The sequence below is a fragment of the Homo sapiens genome, chromosome 11 (assembly GCF_000001405.40).
Source record: "Homo sapiens chromosome 11, GRCh38.p14 Primary Assembly".
In the NCBI taxonomy this organism is placed as follows: domain Eukaryota; kingdom Metazoa; phylum Chordata; class Mammalia; order Primates; family Hominidae; genus Homo; species Homo sapiens.
Window position 1 is genome coordinate 57,597,376 of NC_000011.10, and position 18,139 is coordinate 57,615,514.

Consider the following 18,139-nt stretch of genomic DNA (forward strand, 5'->3'; position numbering starts at 1 on the left):
ATTTTGTGTACATGCTGTTTTTATTGTTACTCATGAAGACGCGGGGGAAGCTTTGGTTGTGTAAAGCTGAGAACTGCACCCAAGCTTCCCCGTTCACCCCACCTACCAGGGGATTTGGGCTAAATTCCTGGCCTGGCCCACAAAGAAGACCAAGCGGTCAGTCCCATTCCGTCCCATCCTGATTTACAGGAACTCACACCAGCGATCAATCTTCCTTAATTTGTAACTGGGCAGTGTCCCGGGCCAGCCAATAGCTAAGACTGCCCCCCCCGCACCCCACCCTCCCTGACCCTGGGGGACTCTCTACTCAGTCTGCACTGGAGCTGCCTGGTGACCAGAAGTTTGGAGTAGGTTTGGTGCTGGGCAGGGGTGGGGAGTAGGGTGGAAAGCATGGAGTGAAGAGGTCTAGGGAGGGGGTCTCCTCACCCCCGCCTTCCTGCCCGCCTTGATCTCGGGGGTCTCTATAGGCTTGCTTCCACCTGGGACTTCTGCCTCCTCCTACCCCAGCCCCTCCCGCCTCAGGCCTGTTGTGCTCAGCCCCCCAGGACCTCCCCTCCCCCACGCCTCTGGCCTCATTGTTTGGTTAAAGCAGGACCCCCTCCCCCTCCCACCACCTCCCCTCCGACTGAACAGATGGACAGAGACCCGGGCCCACGGGGAGAGGAAGGGCCAGCCGGTGCCGGGAAAGGGAAGCGGTTTGGGGAAAACAAAACAGAGGGAGGAGCCAGGGAGAAGGTGGCCCCAGGAGGGAGGAGGAGGGAATTCGCTAAGAGGGACTGGGGCCTGAGACGGAATGGGGGCGGGCCCCGGGCGGGGTGGGGGCCCCTGGGCTCCCAGGGTGGGAGCTGGCTCCGAGGCTGGCTGGCTCCGCAGGTCCGCTGACGTCGCCGCCCAGATGGCCTCCAGGCTGACCCTGCTGACCCTCCTGCTGCTGCTGCTGGCTGGGGTATGTGGTCCCTTGTGGGATGGGGGACGGGGGTGGAGACGGGAGGCGGGATGGTGCGGGGTGCGGGCGGTGGCTGAGGATTAACCCTTCAGGCTCCGGGGAATGAGGAGAGCTCCTCTTGGGATCATTGAGTGTGATCCTTGCACACGCACTCGTAGATGGTGGAAAGAGCTCAGGACTCAGACAGATGCAAGTTCTAATCTTGGCGGGCCATGTAGGAGCTGCGCAGCGTGGTCCTGAGGACGTCACTTTTCTCAGCCTACTCCTCCTGATTTATAAAATGTTGAATAAACAGATCCCACCCTGTCCACCAAGCAGGCTTGGCAGGAGGATCACATAGGGCAAGGAGATGGGAAGCATTTTGTGATATCAAAGCAAGAGTTTGTTGTAGAAAAGAGCTGTGGGGAGGAGAGGTTTGGCTGCTGTGACACAGACGGTGGTCCCAGGCTAGGGCCTGTGAAGACAGGGAAGAATGGTAGCAAACATACGTGGGTCTGGGTGGGGGTCAATAGCAGTGAGAGGTCCCAGTGGTCTGGGAGGTCATGGACTAGAAATAAGGCTAAGAAGTGCAGGATCCCAGGAGAAAGGTAGGTAGGGGTGTGTGTATGTGCGTGTGTGTGTGTGTGCACGCGCAAGTTGGTATCACATACTCAGCAGATGATGTAGTTATGAGCAGGGAGTTTGGAATCAGAGACCTTGTTTTGACCCCTAGCTGTTTCTCCCATTTCTGTGAGACCCTGGACTAGTTAATATGTGTCGGTATGAGTTTCTCTACCTGTGAAATGGAGCTAATGCGTGGTTTCTCAGTGGAGGATCTGTTGACATTGGGGCTGGATAATTCATTGCTGAGGGGCTACCCTGCGCATTTTAGGATGTTTTGCAGTATATCTCTAGCCTCTACGCACTAGATTCCGGTAGCATCTTCCCTGCTGTCTCCCTGTGACAACCAAAAATGTCTCTGGACATTGCCAAATATCCCCTGGGAGTCAAAATTGTTTCAGAGCCGCTGGCCTATACTACTTCTCTCTCCCTCCCTTCCTGCCTCCCTTCTTTCCTCCTTCCCTTTCTTCGTTCCCTTCCTAATGTGTACTGTTTTTCCACACCCACTAATGGGTTGCAACCCACAGTTTAAAAATTTACTGTTCTAAATCAAGGAGCACAAGTTCAAATGTCTGTACTAGCCAAGCAAGTGAGTCAAACAGGTAGATATTTACAGGAAATTGCAAGAACATAGATAAATGACAACACTCAGCTTCACTGTTTGGAAAACAACTTCCTACAGGGCAGTAATTGGTCAGAGATTACAGAGTCCCTGACTATCCCTCATCTTCTGCAGAGCACATTCCTGTGCACCCCCACCCTCACCCTGTATTGCCCCTTCTCTGAGGAATTAGTGGTGGTGGTTCTAAGACAGATTGCTCATCTGCCGCACTGTCAGAAATTACTCTCTTGTACAGGACATTTTCCACATCCACACCTTCTCTTCCTGCTTTGAGTATTTTAGAGGACTGTGCCTCGTAGTAAGAAAAAAATGAAACTCAGTTTCTTGAACCACAGGATAGAGCCTCCTCAAATCCAAATGCTACCAGCTCCAGCTCCCAGGATCCAGAGAGTTTGCAAGACAGAGGCGAAGGGAAGGTCGCAACAACAGTTATCTCCAAGATGCTATTCGTTGAACCCATCCTGGAGGTTTCCAGCTTGCCGACAACCAACTCAACAACCAATTCAGCCACCAAAATAACAGCTAATACCACTGATGAACCCACCACACAACCCACCACAGAGCCCACCACCCAACCCACCATCCAACCCACCCAACCAACTACCCAGCTCCCAACAGATTCTCCTACCCAGCCCACTACTGGGTCCTTCTGCCCAGGACCTGTTACTCTCTGCTCTGACTTGGAGAGTCATTCAACAGAGGCCGTGTTGGGGGATGCTTTGGTAGATTTCTCCCTGAAGCTCTACCACGCCTTCTCAGCAATGAAGAAGGTGGAGACCAACATGGCCTTTTCCCCATTCAGCATCGCCAGCCTCCTTACCCAGGTCCTGCTCGGTAAGACCCTGCTTGAATTCTCTCCAGGTCATTTGTTGGACACTCCCATAAGAGTCACCAATCCAGACACTTACAAAGCCATGCCTCTGGGAAGAAGCTGTAAAAATGGGCTATTATATATTGGGGGTGGGGTAGAGGGATGTATCTTTTCATTCTTGAACATTCCATCATTTCACAGTGATGTAATAGGCACGATTGCTTGTAAAACTCTGTGACTATACAAGAACATATAAAATAAGGTCGCAGCCACTAACCATGTTTCATGGCAAGGAGAGGTGATAAGAAAGATGAAATTAGGCGCAGTGGCTCACGCCTGTAATCCCAGCACTTTGGGAGGCCAAGGCGGGTGGATCACCTGAGGTCAGGAGTTCAAGACCAGCCTGGCCAACATGGTGAAACCCTGTCTCTACTAAAAATACAAAAATTATCAGGGAGTGGTGGTGCATGCCTGTAATCCCAGCTACTTGGGCAGCTGAGGCAGGAGAATCGCTTGAACCCAGGAGGTGGAGGTTGCAGTGAGCCGAGACCGCACCATTGCACTACAGTCTGGGTGACAGAGCGAGACTCTGTCTCAAAAAAAAAAAAAAATTATCAGAGATAGACCTAGAGTAGATGTGGTTAGTACTGCCTTCTAGCTCTGTGACCTTGGGCAGATCACTTTAACCTCTCTGAGCCTTGAGTCCTCTTGTGTAAAATAGTGATGATGCTATCTACCTCAAAAGATTAAGAAGCAGAAAGCCAGGCCGGATGCGGTGGTTCACACCTGTAATCCCAGCATTTTAGGAGGCCGAGGCGGGCAGATCACGAGGTCAGGAGTTCGAGACCAGCCTGACTAACATGGTGAAACCCCGTCTCTACTAAAAATAAAAAGAAATTAGCTAGGCATGGTGGTGCACACCTGTAACCCCAGCTACTCAGGAGGCTGAGGCAGGAGAATCACTTGAACACGGGAGGCAGAGGTTGCAGTGAGCCGAAATCATGCCACTGCACTCCAGCCTGGGAAGACTGAGCAAGACTCTGTCTCAAAAAAAAAAAAGAAGCAGCCTAGTGTCTGACTTAGTGGGAGGTCAAAAAAATGTAAATCCTCTGCCATCTTGAGGGATTACTGTCAAGTCCCATTTGGTAATTACCCTAGGAATGGCACAAACAAATTACTACAAGCAGTGGGGACAGAGCTATTACTCCCCAGAGAGAATTCTAAAAAGGCTACAGAATCTTTCTTGGCTGGGCACGGTGACTCACACCTATAATCCTGGCACTTTGGGAGGCCAAGGCAGGAGTTCAAGACCAGCCTGGCCAACATGTTGAAACCCCATCTCTACTAAAAATGCAAAAATTAGCCAGGCATAGTGATGCATGCTTATTGTCCCAGCTACTTGGGAGGCAGAGGTGGGAGGATTGCTTGAACCTGGAGATTCAAGTGAGCTGAGATTGCACCACTGCATTCCAGCCTGGGCAACAAAGCAAGACTCTGTCTCAAAAAAAAAAAAAAAAAAAAAAAAAAGAGAGATTGAGAGAACACTTCCAGCTCAGATGATCTGTGATCCCCTCCAAAGCAGGGAATACCCTCCATTCCAGCCTGGTCCCCAACCCTCATTCCCAAGGAAGGCCCCCGACTCATCCTGCAAGTATCTTTCATCTCTGCCCTTTGTTGCAGGGGCTGGGGAGAACACCAAAACAAACCTGGAGAGCATCCTCTCTTACCCCAAGGACTTCACCTGTGTCCACCAGGCCCTGAAGGGCTTCACGACCAAAGGTGTCACCTCAGTCTCTCAGATCTTCCACAGCCCAGGTGAGTGCCCAGGAATGGGCAGTGTCTGCAGAGGAGGGTCCTGAGAGGACTCTGAAGGGGGACCCAGCGCTGGGGAAAGAAAGGACAGAGGGAATGTTGGAGCTACAGTATCAGGGATGGACTGCAGAGCAGGTGAAGACCTTGGCAGGAGCATTAGGTCACTCCAGGAACTAGACTGTTCTTCTAATGAGACCTTAGACAAGTCTCTGGCATTCATCAACTGCTTTAGAATAAAAATAACCGGGCAGGTACAGTAAAATAGTGATGATGCTATCTACCTCAAAAGATTAAGAAGCAGAAAGCCAGGCTGGGCGTGGTGGCTCACACCTGTAATCCCAGCACTTTGGGAGGCCGAGGCAGGTGGATCACGAGGTCAGGGGTTCGAGACCAGCCTGACCAACATGGTGAAACCCTGTCTCTACTAAAAATACAAAAATTAGCTGGGCATGGTGGCGGGCACCTGTAATCCCAGCTATTCAGGAGGCTGAGGCAGGAGAATTGCTTGAACCTGGGAGGCGGAGGTTGCAGTGAGCCGAGATGACGCCACTGCACTCCAGCCTGGGCGACAGAGCAAGACTCCGTCTCAAAAAAAAAAACAAAAACAAAACAAAAACAAAAAAAAAAACAAAGAAGGAGAAAGCCGGGCCGGGCATGGTGGCTCTCATCTGTAAGTTCAAGGAGTTGAAGGTATGCTAGGACTTTGGGAGGCCAAGGCCTTCAAGACCAGCCTGGGCAGCATGGCGAAACCTGTCTCCATTAAAAAAAAAAAAGTTGGGGGTACGGCTGGGCATGGTGGCTCACACCTGTAATCCCAGCACTTTGGGAGGCTGAGGTGGGTGGAACACCTGAGGTCAGGAGTTCAAGACCAGCCTGGCCAACATGGCAAAACCCTGTCTCTATTAAAAACACAAAAATTAGCCTGGCATGGTGGCAGGCGCCTATAATCCCAACTACTCAGGAGGCTGAGGCAGGAGAATCGCTTGAACCCAAGAGAGTGAAGGTTGCAGTGAGCTGAGATCATGCCACTTCACTCCAGCCTGAGTGAAACAGCAAAACTCTGTCTCAAAAAAAAAAAAAGGAAGAAAGAAAAAAGGCCAGGCGCGGTGACTCACGCCTGTAATCGCAACACTTTGGCAGGCCGAGGCAGGCGATTCACAAGGTCAGGAGTTCGAGACCAGTCTGGCTAACTAACATAGTGAAACTCCGTCTCTACTGAAAATACAAGAAATTACCCTGGCATGGTGGTGTGCACCTGTAATCCCAGCTACTCAGGAGGCTGAGGCAGGAGAATCGCTTGAACCTGGGAGGCAGAGGCTGCAGTGAGCCGAGATCGCGCCACTGCACTCCAGCCTGGATGACAGAGCAAGACTCTGTCTCAAAAAAAAAAGGCCGGGCGCGGTGGCTCATGCCTGTAATCCCAGCACTTTGGGAGGCTGAGGCGGGCGGACCACGAGGTCAGAAGATCAAGACCATCCTGGCTAACAAGATGAAACCCTGTCTCTGCCAAAAAAATACAAAACTTAGCCGGGCATGGTGGCAGGCGCCTGTGGTCCCAACTACTTGGGAGGCTGAGGCAGGAGAATGGCATGAACCCGGGAGGCGGAGCTTGCAGTGAGCCGAGATTGCGCCACTGCACTCCAGCCTGGGCAACAGAGCGAGACACCATCTCAAAAAAAAAAAAAAAAAATGGGGCGGGCGGGCCAGGCGCGGTGTCTCACACCTGTAATCCCAGCACTTTGGGAGGCTGAGGTGGGCGGATCACTTGAGGTCAGGAGTTCAAGACCAGCCTGGCCAACACCAGGAAACCCTGTCTCTGTTAAAAATACAAAAATTAGCCAGGTGTGGTGGCACGCGCCTGTAGTCCCAGCAGGAGAATAACTTCAACCTGGGAGACAGAGGTTGCAGTCAGCTGAGATCGCACCACTGCATTCCAGCCTGGGTGACAGACCGAGACTCTGTCTCAAAAAAAAAAAAAAAAAGAAGAATACCCATATGCATTCATTAATATATAGGGCTAGAGGGCTAGAGAGCTATAGACATAAAATAGACAAAAAATTTTTTTGCTCATTTTTGGGTCAAAGGAGTCTTGGGACTCTAATTCTTTTAATTTTTGTGTTATGTGAATTTGTTATCATTTACATGTATTATGTTATTAAGTAGGTAATAATGATAATACTAATAATAAACTTACAAAACGATCCAATGTAGTTGTTTTCAGACTTTGTTCCTCGGAGCCCTAGGACTTTGCAAAGCTGTTTCTGGAGTCATGGTGGGAGTGGGGTGTGGGGAGCCTGAGCAGTGGGGAAGGGTTCACCACTTCCTGTGAGAGGGAAACGGACCAGCTGGGCTCTGAGCTCCCCACCCAGCCTCAGCCAGGGTCCATTTTATATTGTGGGCTTCAGACATGCCTTTGTTTGAAAGCAGTTCTGCTGCTTTAAAATGTTTGATAACCATTGAACTAATCTACCCACCTCCCTTTTTAAAAAAAAAAGGAAAACTTTTTTTTAAGCTGTTTTTTTTGTTTTTTGTTTTTTTTTAAACTGTAAAAACAATACTTAGGTCTGGCTCAGTGTGCCTGTAATTCCAACACTGAGAGGCTGAGGTAGGAGGATTGCTTGAGGCTAGAATTTCGAGACTAGCCTCTGGGCAACATAGACAGACCTCATCTCTACAAAAAATTTTAAAAATTATCCGGGTGTGGTACGTGTCTGTAGTTCCAGCTATGAAGGACTGAGACGGGAGGATTGCTTGAGCCAAGGAATTCGAAGTTAGAGTGAGCTATGTTTATGCCTCTGTACTCTAGGTTGGGTAACAGAGTAGGACCCTGTCTCTAAAAAAAAAAAAATTTAATTTAAATTTTAAAAACTCACCTATCACCCCATCATCTGAAAAACACCCTCTTTCAGATGTGGGAAAAACATGGCTCAGAGGTGTTCAAGAAATGTTGCATTTATTTATTACTTACAAAGCTGTAAGTCAGCTTTATCCGCTGTCTTGCTAGGTTGGTGAAAAATACGTAACAGCATTCAATATTAGGGCTTCTATCCCCATCTAGCTGCACACTGGAGCTGTGCCAAGCAAGGTTCTTGGTCTTATGTTGTACTTAGGCATCAGCAAAGCCTGGGAAAATATCTTTTTTTTTTTTTTGAGACAGAATCTCGCTCTGTCGCCCAGGCTGGAATGCAGTGGCACCATCTCAGCTCACTGCAACCTCCGTCTCCCAGATTCAAGTGATTCTCCTGCCTCAGCCTCCCGAATAGCTGGGATTACAGGCTGGTCTTGAACTCCTGGCCTCCAGTGATCCACCCACCTTGGCCTCCCAAAGTGCTGCGATTACAGGTGTGAGCCACCATGCCCAGCTGGGGAAAATATCTTTAATCTACTTAGTCCTAGAAAAATTATCTTTCAAGTGCTTTTTTTTTTTTTTTTTCAGTGGACTGAAGGCTTTTGCAGAGCAAAAGCCAGGAAGTTTTGTCACAAACTTCCACCAAGGCCAGGAAGCAGAGTCTATTCCGTGCCAAAATTAAGGGAAGAAAAGAGGGAAAATCTAGGCAAATGGAATTTAATATCTCAAAAAGATTATCTTGCCGAGCCATAGTCACATAGCAAGCTGAGGCAGCGGAGGCTTGGGGCTACTTCTCTTGTTCTTGGTTCTGGGTTTACCTTCTTTGGGCCTTATTTGCCACATCTGTAAGAGGAGTGGGCTGGACCGCGCTCCACCATGCCGTATTCACTAAGTGAGCAGATAGAACCATAGAAAGCATGCTCACTCTCAAATCGTGCTCATGGAAAGAACGACGTGTTCAGGACTCATGCCTCCCTTTCTCAACATACCCCCAGACCTGGCCATAAGGGACACCTTTGTGAATGCCTCTCGGACCCTGTACAGCAGCAGCCCCAGAGTCCTAAGCAACAACAGTGACGCCAACTTGGAGCTCATCAACACCTGGGTGGCCAAGAACACCAACAACAAGATCAGCCGGCTGCTAGACAGTCTGCCCTCCGATACCCGCCTTGTCCTCCTCAATGCTATCTACCTGAGTGGTAAGGGTGCCCTTAGCCAGTTAGTCTTCCCATTCTGGGTCCTTCTTCCCCTCCTGGCTTCAAAGCCCACTTAACCCCAAGTTCTACAATCGGATCTCAATGTCCCTGCACTACTCTTTGCTAACAAGGCTTTTAGCTCCTCTTCATCCTTTTCCTACCTGCATTAGAGCAACCCTCCCACCTCTTCCCTCTAGCCAAGTGGAAGACAACATTTGATCCCAAGAAAACCAGAATGGAACCCTTTCACTTCAAAAACTCAGTTATAAAAGTGCCCATGATGAATAGCAAGAAGTACCCTGTGGCCCATTTCATTGACCAAACTTTGAAAGCCAAGGTAAGTTCTTAACCTTTCCTTCTCCTGTTTGAAACCTACTTGAGTCTCCTGACTTTTTTTCTGCTGTAGTCCCATCATTTTGGGGTACATGCTTACAAATTCATCACTTCTACTCCTTCCATCTGTATTTCCACCCTATCTTTTCTCCTTCTCCTTTCTCTAGCCTTGGCCAAGGCAGACATTGTATATTTTAGGCTGGAAACAGGATTCTCAAGTTTCTTCATGCATCTCTACTATATTGAATGGCAAAATGTGAGTCGTGTTCCTATTCTACACATCTGTTTCTTTTTCCAGTCAACTCATCAGAAGACTCTGGTGGCTTAGCAAGTCCTGTGTGTATGTGGGTACCTGTGTACAGCATACATATACATGTGTAGACGTGTATAAGTATATCCTTGTATATGCATATATGTGGTAAGTGCATGTGTGCACATGAGTTAAATGGCTTAAGTGCATTAGCAGAAATTGAACAATTTAGTTTGATGAGTAGGGAGGGAGAGAAGACAGAATATGGAGCCCAGAGGATCCCAACTGGCAAGCTATCTCATCCCCAGTTACCAGATATTTCCACCTTTTTAGGATGGCAAAACACAGACCTATGAGACAGAAAACAGTAAGAGACAATGTCTCAATACCTGGCTGAGAAACAAAGGCTCTGTTCTTGGAACATGCTAGGCTTGGTTCCACATTGGGAGCTTTCCTTAGCTTTTGTTTCTGCCTGTATCCCTCTTCACTCAGATCCTCACATAGCTTGTTCCTTCTTGTCATTTGGGTGTCAGCTCAGAGGTCACCTTGGTGGAGAAGTCTTCTCCCCATTAAAGCAGCCTCCTCCTCACCCTGTAATATCACTCCTGTTTTATTATATTCATTACACTCATCACCATCTGAAATTATGTCATTTATTTGCTTATTTGCCTAGGACATTGTCTGTCTCCCTAAGATACTGTCTCTCTACTTGAATACAGGAACCTGTCTTGTTTCCTTCTGTATCTGTAGTGCCTAGAACAATGCCTCCTATCATAGGTGCTCATTCAGTGTTTGCTGAATAAATGAATGAATGAAATAGAGGGTGCCAAAGAGAGCTACTCAGTAAAAGTGGCTGGAAGACTTCATAGAGGAGGGTTTTTTTCGAGACAGGGTCTCACTCTGTCACTCAAGCTGCAGTGCATTGACATGATCTCAGCTCACTGCAATCTCTGCCTCCCGAGTTCAAGCAGTTCTCCTGCCTCAGCCTCCCAAGTAGCTGGGACTACAGGAGCCCGCCACCACACCTGGCTAATTTTTGTATTTTTAGTAGAGACGGGGTTTCACCATGTTAGCCAAGCTGGTCTCGAACTCCTGACCTCAAGTGATCCACACCCTCAGCCTCCCAAAGGGCTGGGATTACAGGCATGAGCCACAGCGCCCAGCTGAGGAGGTTATTTTTGACCATTCTTTGCTCAGTTATTTATCCACTCATGGACTTATCCACCCATCTATCCATCCCTATCTAATGTATTTGACCATTCATGACTCATTTAGCAGAACCAGGACAGCCTGTATAAGGCACAGAAGAGTGAATATATGTGACAGGTCCAGAGCATTGTTCAAATTCAAGATACGTTGGGGGAGGTATAAATATGAGATTTTTTTCAAATCAATTGGAATGGCTATTTAATCAAAGCCATAGATGTTAGGTGGAAAGTAGGAATTAAGAACTTAACAAGTTAGGTTTAAATGTAACTATTCGAATTATAAGAACAAGTATTTCCTCTCTAAAAATGTTTTTAAAGTTTCACACAAAACTCTAAACCAAAAATCATTGTAAAAATCCCTTGGGAGTAGACTGTTGAAACCATTGAGGTGAGGTGATAGGTTAAGGTGAGCATTCTGGACATATAATATCAATAATAAATATTCAAATACAAAGCAGGTATAATATGAAGAGTAATTTCTATCTCCCCAAGCCAATATGAGTTTTGTTTGTTTGTTTGTTTTTCTTTTGAGATAAAGTCTCATTCTGTTGCCCAGGCCGGAGTGCAGTGGCACAATCCCAGCTCTCTGTAACCTCTGCCTCCCAGGTTCAAGCGATTCTCCTGCCTTAGCCTCCCTAGTAGCTGGGATTATAGGTGCCTGCCACCACTCCCAGCTAATTTTTGTATTTTTAGTAGAGATGGGGTTTCACCATGTTGGCCAGGCTGGTCATGAACTCCTGACCTCAAGTGCTCGTCCGTCTTCGGCCTCCTAAAGTGCTGGCATTACAGGCGTGAGCCACTGCACCCAGCCTGAGTTTTTTTTTTTTTTTTAAGCCAAAGGAGGAGGAGTAGTTTTGTGCACAAAAGCCACTATTTAGAGTTCCTTAGGTTTTAAACAGATAATTAATTTAATGTACTAACAAATGCAAAATTAAAATTTTACTTATGCCTTTTAATTTTAAGCTGAACTTGCTACATTAAGAGTAGGGTGATTTGGCTGGGCGCAGTGGCTCATGCCTATAATCCCAGCACTTTAGGAGGCTGAGGCAGGTGGATCACTTGAAGCTAAGAGTTTGAGACCAGCCTGGCCAACATGGTGGAATTCTGTCTCTACTAAAAATACAAAAATTAGCCAGGCATGGTGGCACATGTCTGTAATCCCAGCTACTCAGGATGCTAAGGCACAGAATCACTTGAACCTGGGAGGCAGAGGTTACAGTGAGCCAAAATCGCGCCACTGCACTCCAACCTGGGCAACACAGCAAGACTCTGTCTCAAAACACAAAAAAAGAATAGGCTGGGTACAGTGGCTCACGCCTGTAATCCCAGCACTTTGGGAGGCCGAGGCAGGTGAATCACCTGAGGTCAGGAGTTCGAGACCAGCTTGGCCAACATTGTGAAACCCCATCTCCATTAAAAATACAAAAAATAAGCCGGGTGTGATGGTGCACGCCTGTAATCCCAGATACTTGTGAGGCTGGGACAGAAGAATCGCTTGAACCCGGGAGGCGAAGGTTGCAGTGAGCCGAGATCATGCCACTGCATTCCAGCCTGAGCGACAGAGTGAGACCTTGTCTCAGAAAAAAAAAAATAGGGTGATTTTTATATAAAAACACTCTCATTTGTTCTTGAATTAATTGCCATATTGAACAGATTAAACTCCTTTAAACCATTTTTTCTATCTACAAACATAATTAGTATTCCCATAAGCATTTTAAGCTCCCTTTAAAAATTTAATATGCTCGATTTTCTTTTTTCTTTTATTTATTTATGTAGTTTTCCCAGACAGGGTCTTACTCTATCACCCAGTCTGGAGTACAGTGACACAATCCTCACTTACTGTAACCTCAAGCTCCTTGGGATGAAGCAGTCCTCCCACCCTAGCCTCTTAAGTAGCTGAGATTCCAGGCATGAGCCACCTCACCCAGCTGATTTTCTTTTTAAACACATCTAATACCTGACAGGTCGTAATTACGACTGTGCTTGGCCATATCATCCTAACACCTAAAGCTCACTTGTAAACTGAAAATTAAATTTGAAGGGTGAATTAACTTCTAGCCAACATTCCAATATCATTCTCACATTTAATGAAATTATCCTACAACTTTGCTTAAAAGCATAAAACTAGCATGTCAGAGTCTCTTAAAAATTACAATCACTATTTTAAATAACAAACATACAGGTTACCCTGAACTTAACACCTGGTTTTAACATGATGAAGTTGGTTTCTTTTGTCATTCTTATACTAAATTCTAAATCTTCCTGGCACTTAAGGATATTTACCCAAGGAAGGGGGTGAGATTTACCGGCTCAGGTACACCGAGGTTACTGGCTTGAAAATTCAAGACCACAGCATGGTAAATTTTTCTTCAGAGATTCAAGGTTCATACATAGGACTTGAAGGGCACATGCTACTCAAATGAGTATATCCAACTTGAGTGCTACATCAACAGGGACCCCATGTCCACTCTTTTCAGTCGAAATTGGCTTACTATCTACTTCTTCTGGGCTATTCAGGTTCCGACAATTGATTGCTTTCAGTTAATTTCTTTATTGCCCAGTTGAATTCTGCATTCTTCTAGATTCTTTTTGTTCCTTCAGCCTCAATCATAATACCATTTAATGACAGTCTCATATCCTATTAGACTAGGGTTTCTCAGCCTTGGCACTATTGACATATTGGGTCAGATAATTCTTTGTCCTGTGCATTGTAGAATTTAGCATCTTCCTTAGCTTCTACTCACTAGAAGCCAGTAGCACTGTGTGCACATCCTCCTTGCCCCCTGCCAGCTATGACAACCAAAATGTCTCCAGACATTACCAAATGTCCACTGAGAGGCAAATTCACTCCGAGTTGACAACCCCTGTATTAAACCCAGGGGCCCTGCACTTCTTACATACTTTTGTCTGGTCACCAGTTGAAAGTCCTTCTTCTTTTTTTTTTCTCTTTTTGAGATGGAGTCTCGCTCTGTCACCAGGCTGGAGTGCAGTGGCATGATCTCGGCTCACTGCAGCCTCCACCTCCCGGGTTCAAGCAATTCTCCTGCCTCAGCCTCCTGAGTAGCTGGGATTACAGGCACGTGCCACCACCCAGCTAATTTTTGTATTTTTAGTAGAGGTGGGGTTTCATCATGGTGGCCAGGATGGTCTCAATCTCTTGACCTCGTGATCCGCCCACCTCGGCCTCCCAAAGTGCTGGGATTACAGGTGTGAGCCACCGTGCATGACCAAAAGTCCTTCTAATAGCAAAGTGGAAAGGTAGGCTGTGAACAATCTTGAATGCCATACTAAGATTTGTACTTATTCTCATAGGCAGTGAAGAGCCATCAATAGTTTTTACAGAGGCTGACCTGATAACTCTGGCGGTTCAATGTGCATGCTATATACTATATGCACAACACATTAGGAAGGAAGGGAACAGCGCTCAGAGAAATCAAATCACTTGCCCATATTACATAGCTCGTCAGTGGTGGAGTCAGGGTATAATCAGAAACTCATGCTCCTTCCTCTACCTCTCCCCAGCACAGAGTTGGATCAGCACTGTTCACCCAGCTGGTATCCCCATTTCATGGTAAAGCCTGGAAGCTTAGGTCTGACTGATGCTTGTTGAAATACAGACTGTGGGAGCAGACTGCAGGACAGCATTGTGACAGAGGGTGGGGCCAGGAGAGAGATGCGGTAGGAAGACTGTTAAGATGCATCTCTTATTTTCTAGGTGGGGCAGCTGCAGCTCTCCCACAATCTGAGTTTGGTGATCCTGGTACCCCAGAACCTGAAACATCGTCTTGAAGACATGGAACAGGCTCTCAGCCCTTCTGTTTTCAAGGCCATCATGGAGAAACTGGAGATGTCCAAGTTCCAGCCCACTCTCCTAACACTACCCCGCATCAAAGTGACGACCAGCCAGGATATGCTCTCAATCATGGAGAAATTGGGTGAGCTCTGGCAGCTTAGGGTTACTCCCAGGCCATCAGAGGAGAAAGGGGGGATCCCTAAGATGTAGTTAGCATTCTCTAGAGTATTTTTTACATCCATAATCTCAGTTTGTCCTGCAACCCTGCAAGTTAGAGGGGTAGGTGCTATTATCCCATTGGATCATTGTGGAAATGGAGGCTCAGAAGCTTTATGTGACTTACCCAGAGATTCCATGATTTACCCTTGAGCTAGTCAGAGGCAAACCAGAACACCGACCCAGGTCTCCAGCTCTCCTGAGTTTTTTCTATGGTTCCTTGTGACATAGGCAGTGGAACAGTGGGACAGGTAACCGAGGTGAATTATGGATGCTCCTTCCCCAGACACATTTCAAAACAGTCAGCCACCCCGTGGAATATGCAAGAAGCTATCTGGAAGTGCAGATCTGGAGGCTTCTGAGTTTACGAGAGGCAACAGAGACTCCATTTTCTTTTTTTTTTTTTTTTTTGAGACGGAGTCTTGCTCTGTCACCCAGGACAGGCTGGAGTGCAGTGGTGCGATCTCTGCTCACTGCAAGATCCGCCTCCCAGATTCACGCCATGCCATTCTCTCGCCTCAGCCTCCCGAGTAGCTGGGACTACAGGTGCCCGCCACCACGCCTGGCTAATTTTGTTTTTGTATTTTTAGTAGAGACGGGGTTTCACTGTGTTAACCAGGATGGTCACAATCTCCGGACCTTGTGATCCACCTGCCTCGGCCTCCCAAAGTGCTGGGATTACAGGCATGAGTCACCGCGCCCAGCCCAGAGACTCCATTTTCTAACCTTTGTTTTTTTGTTTGTTTGTTTTTGAGACGGAGCCTCACTCTGTCACCCAGGCTGGAGCGCAGTGGCATGATCTTGGGTCACTGCAACCTCCGCCTCCTGGGTTCAAGTGATTCTCCTACCTCAGCCTCCCAAGTAGCTGGGATTACAGGCACCTACCACCACGCCCAGCTAATTTTTTTGTATTTTTAGTAGAGATGGGGTTTCACCATGTTGGTGAAGCTGGTCTTGAACTCCTGGGCTCAAGTGATCCACCCACCTCGGCTTCCCAAAGTGCTGGGATTACAGGTGTGAGCCACTGTGCCCAGCCTCATTTTCTAACCTTTGATCTCATGTCCAGCCCTGTCACTTCATTTCTTGTTAGAGAATTTGACCGCCTAACACATGATTCCATTTCCTTGTATATGTCATCTGTATAGGAAGAAAACCTCTTTTTTATTTTCATTCAACACTTCTGGCCACCAAACAGGTGTGGGAGTGTTTTCTAAGCAATTCTCCAGTTATCTGGGGACACCAACTGGGTGTCCTACAATTGAATCCAATTCTAACACTCTACCTGGAAATAACATCAGATCCCGTGCAGTTTAAGTGCTCCGCCCCAGCAAATTTCCCCCCGTTTCCAATGTCAGTTACAAGACTGGGTTGTCACCTGTGCATCAGACCAACCAGCTATAATTTGGAGATTCCCACAACTCCCTGCTAGGGTTTCATCATTTGCTAGAATAGCTGACAAAACTCAGGAGACACTTACATTTACTGGTTTATTATGTAAAGGATTAAGTAAAGGATACAGATGAACAGCCAGTTGAAGAGATACATAGGGCAAAATCTGGAAGGGTCCTGGGCCCAGCAGCATCTATCCTGTGGAGTTCTGTTTGCTACCTTCCTGACACATGTATGTGTTCACCAACCAGAAACTCTCAGAACCCTGTACTTTAGGAGAAGTCATCATGTAGGCATGATTGATTATTACCCAATCTCCAGCTCCTCTCTTCTCCCCAGAGGATGGAGAGAGGGGCTGAAAGTTCCAAGCTTCTAATCACACTTGGTCTTTCTGGTGACCAGCCCCAATCCAGGAGCCAGCAGGAGTAGCCTCATTAGCACAAAAGGCATTCCTATGACCCAGGAAATTCCAAGGGATCTAGTAGCTCTGTGTCAGGAACTGGGATCGGAGACCAAATATTAGATGGTCTAATATTTGGAGCTAAAGATGCTCCTATAGCATATTTTCCCATTATTTCACAGCATCATGGCATTGCATATAACCTCATTTTTTCATATATGACCTATCTCTGATCTATTACCTCACTTCCAAGGTCCTGGGAGATAAGGAGGCAATGACATCATTTTTCAGGGTTGTTTTAGGGATGAGGGGCAAGGCCTCTCACCTTGAGAGAGAGTGGCAGTGTTGGGCCCACTAATAGAGGATCCCACGAACTGCCAGAGGGTACAGTATGTAATCTGGCAAACAAGGGAAGAGGAAGAGAGCACTGGGACTCAGGATGAACCCAGAGAATTCAGGACAAAGGTCTCCATCAGCTGAGGGTATCATGCTGGCTTCTGACTCTGTTTTTCTCTGGTTTTGCCCTAGAATTCTTCGATTTTTCTTATGACCTTAACCTGTGTGGGCTGACAGAGGACCCAGATCTTCAGGTTTCTGCGATGCAGCACCAGACAGTGCTGGAACTGACAGAGACTGGGGTGGAGGCGGCTGCAGCCTCCGCCATCTCTGTGGCCCGCACCCTGCTGGTCTTTGAAGTGCAGCAGCCCTTCCTCTTCGTGCTCTGGGACCAGCAGCACAAGTTCCCTGTCTTCATGGGGCGAGTATATGACCCCAGGGCCTGAGACCTGCAGGATCAGGTTAGGGCGAGCGCTACCTCTCCAGCCTCAGCTCTCAGTTGCAGCCCTGCTGCTGCCTGCCTGGACTTGGCCCCTGCCACCTCCTGCCTCAGGTGTCCGCTATCCACCAAAAGGGCTCCCTGAGGGTCTGGGCAAGGGACCTGCTTCTATTAGCCCTTCTCCATGGCCCTGCCATGCTCTCCAAACCACTTTTTGCAGCTTTCTCTAGTTCAAGTTCACCAGACTCTATAAATAAAACCTGACAGACCATGACTTTCTCTGCTTTGCCTTTGTTTTTTTATTTTTTATTTTTTATTTTTTTTAGGCAGGGTCTCAATCTGTCACCCAGGCTAGAGTACAGTGGTGAGATCATGGTTCACTGCAGCCTTAACCTCCTGAGCTCAAACAATCCTCCCATCTCAGCCTCCTATGTAGGTGGGACCACATGGGCTTGCCACCATGCCCAGCTAATTTTTAAATTTTTTGTAAAGACAGGGTCTTACTATGTTGCCTAGGCTGGTCTCCAACTCCTGGGCTCAAGCAATCATCCTAACACAGCCTCCCGAAGTGCTGGGATTGTAGGCACACCATACCTCTCCTTTGCCTTTGAATATCAGCTGCTTCAATACTAAAGGACAAGAGCGCCCATGGTTCCTGTATCAGCCAGCTATTGCTGTATAGTAAGTCACGTTAAACTTAGTGGCTTCAAACAGCAACCCTTTGTTATTTTATGTAAGTTTCAGAGTTGACTAGGTGTTTTGCTGATCTGGGCTGAACCTGGCTGATCTTCCCTGGGCTCATTCATACATCTGTAAGGTATAGTTGTTGGGTTGGTTAGGGGATGACTGGTCTTCTGTGGCCTCAGCCATGACACCAGGACAACTTGGCTCTTCTACATGTCTTGTATGTCCTTCCAACAGGCTAGTCTGTAATGGAAAA

The 18,139-nt window shown here is 47.4% G+C and overlaps 1 protein-coding gene across 2 annotated transcripts; it reads left to right on the plus strand.

Moving 5' to 3' along the window:
* On the plus strand, positions 310-17,473 carry SERPING1 (serpin family G member 1). Of its 2 annotated transcripts, NM_000062.3 has the most exons (8): positions 310-347; positions 874-946; positions 2,504-3,002; positions 4,660-4,794; positions 8,635-8,838; positions 9,033-9,172; positions 14,342-14,561; positions 16,953-17,473. In NM_000062.3, exons 2-8 carry the CDS (start codon positions 896-898, stop codon positions 17,204-17,206), a joined length of 1,503 nt encoding a protein of 500 aa, NP_000053.2. In that variant the 5' UTR covers positions 310-347; positions 874-895; the 3' UTR covers positions 17,207-17,473. The 2 variants fall into 2 exon arrangements, with proteins under 2 accessions (NP_000053.2, NP_001027466.1); NM_001032295.2 differs by lacking the exon at positions 310-347 and having other exon boundaries at positions 836-946.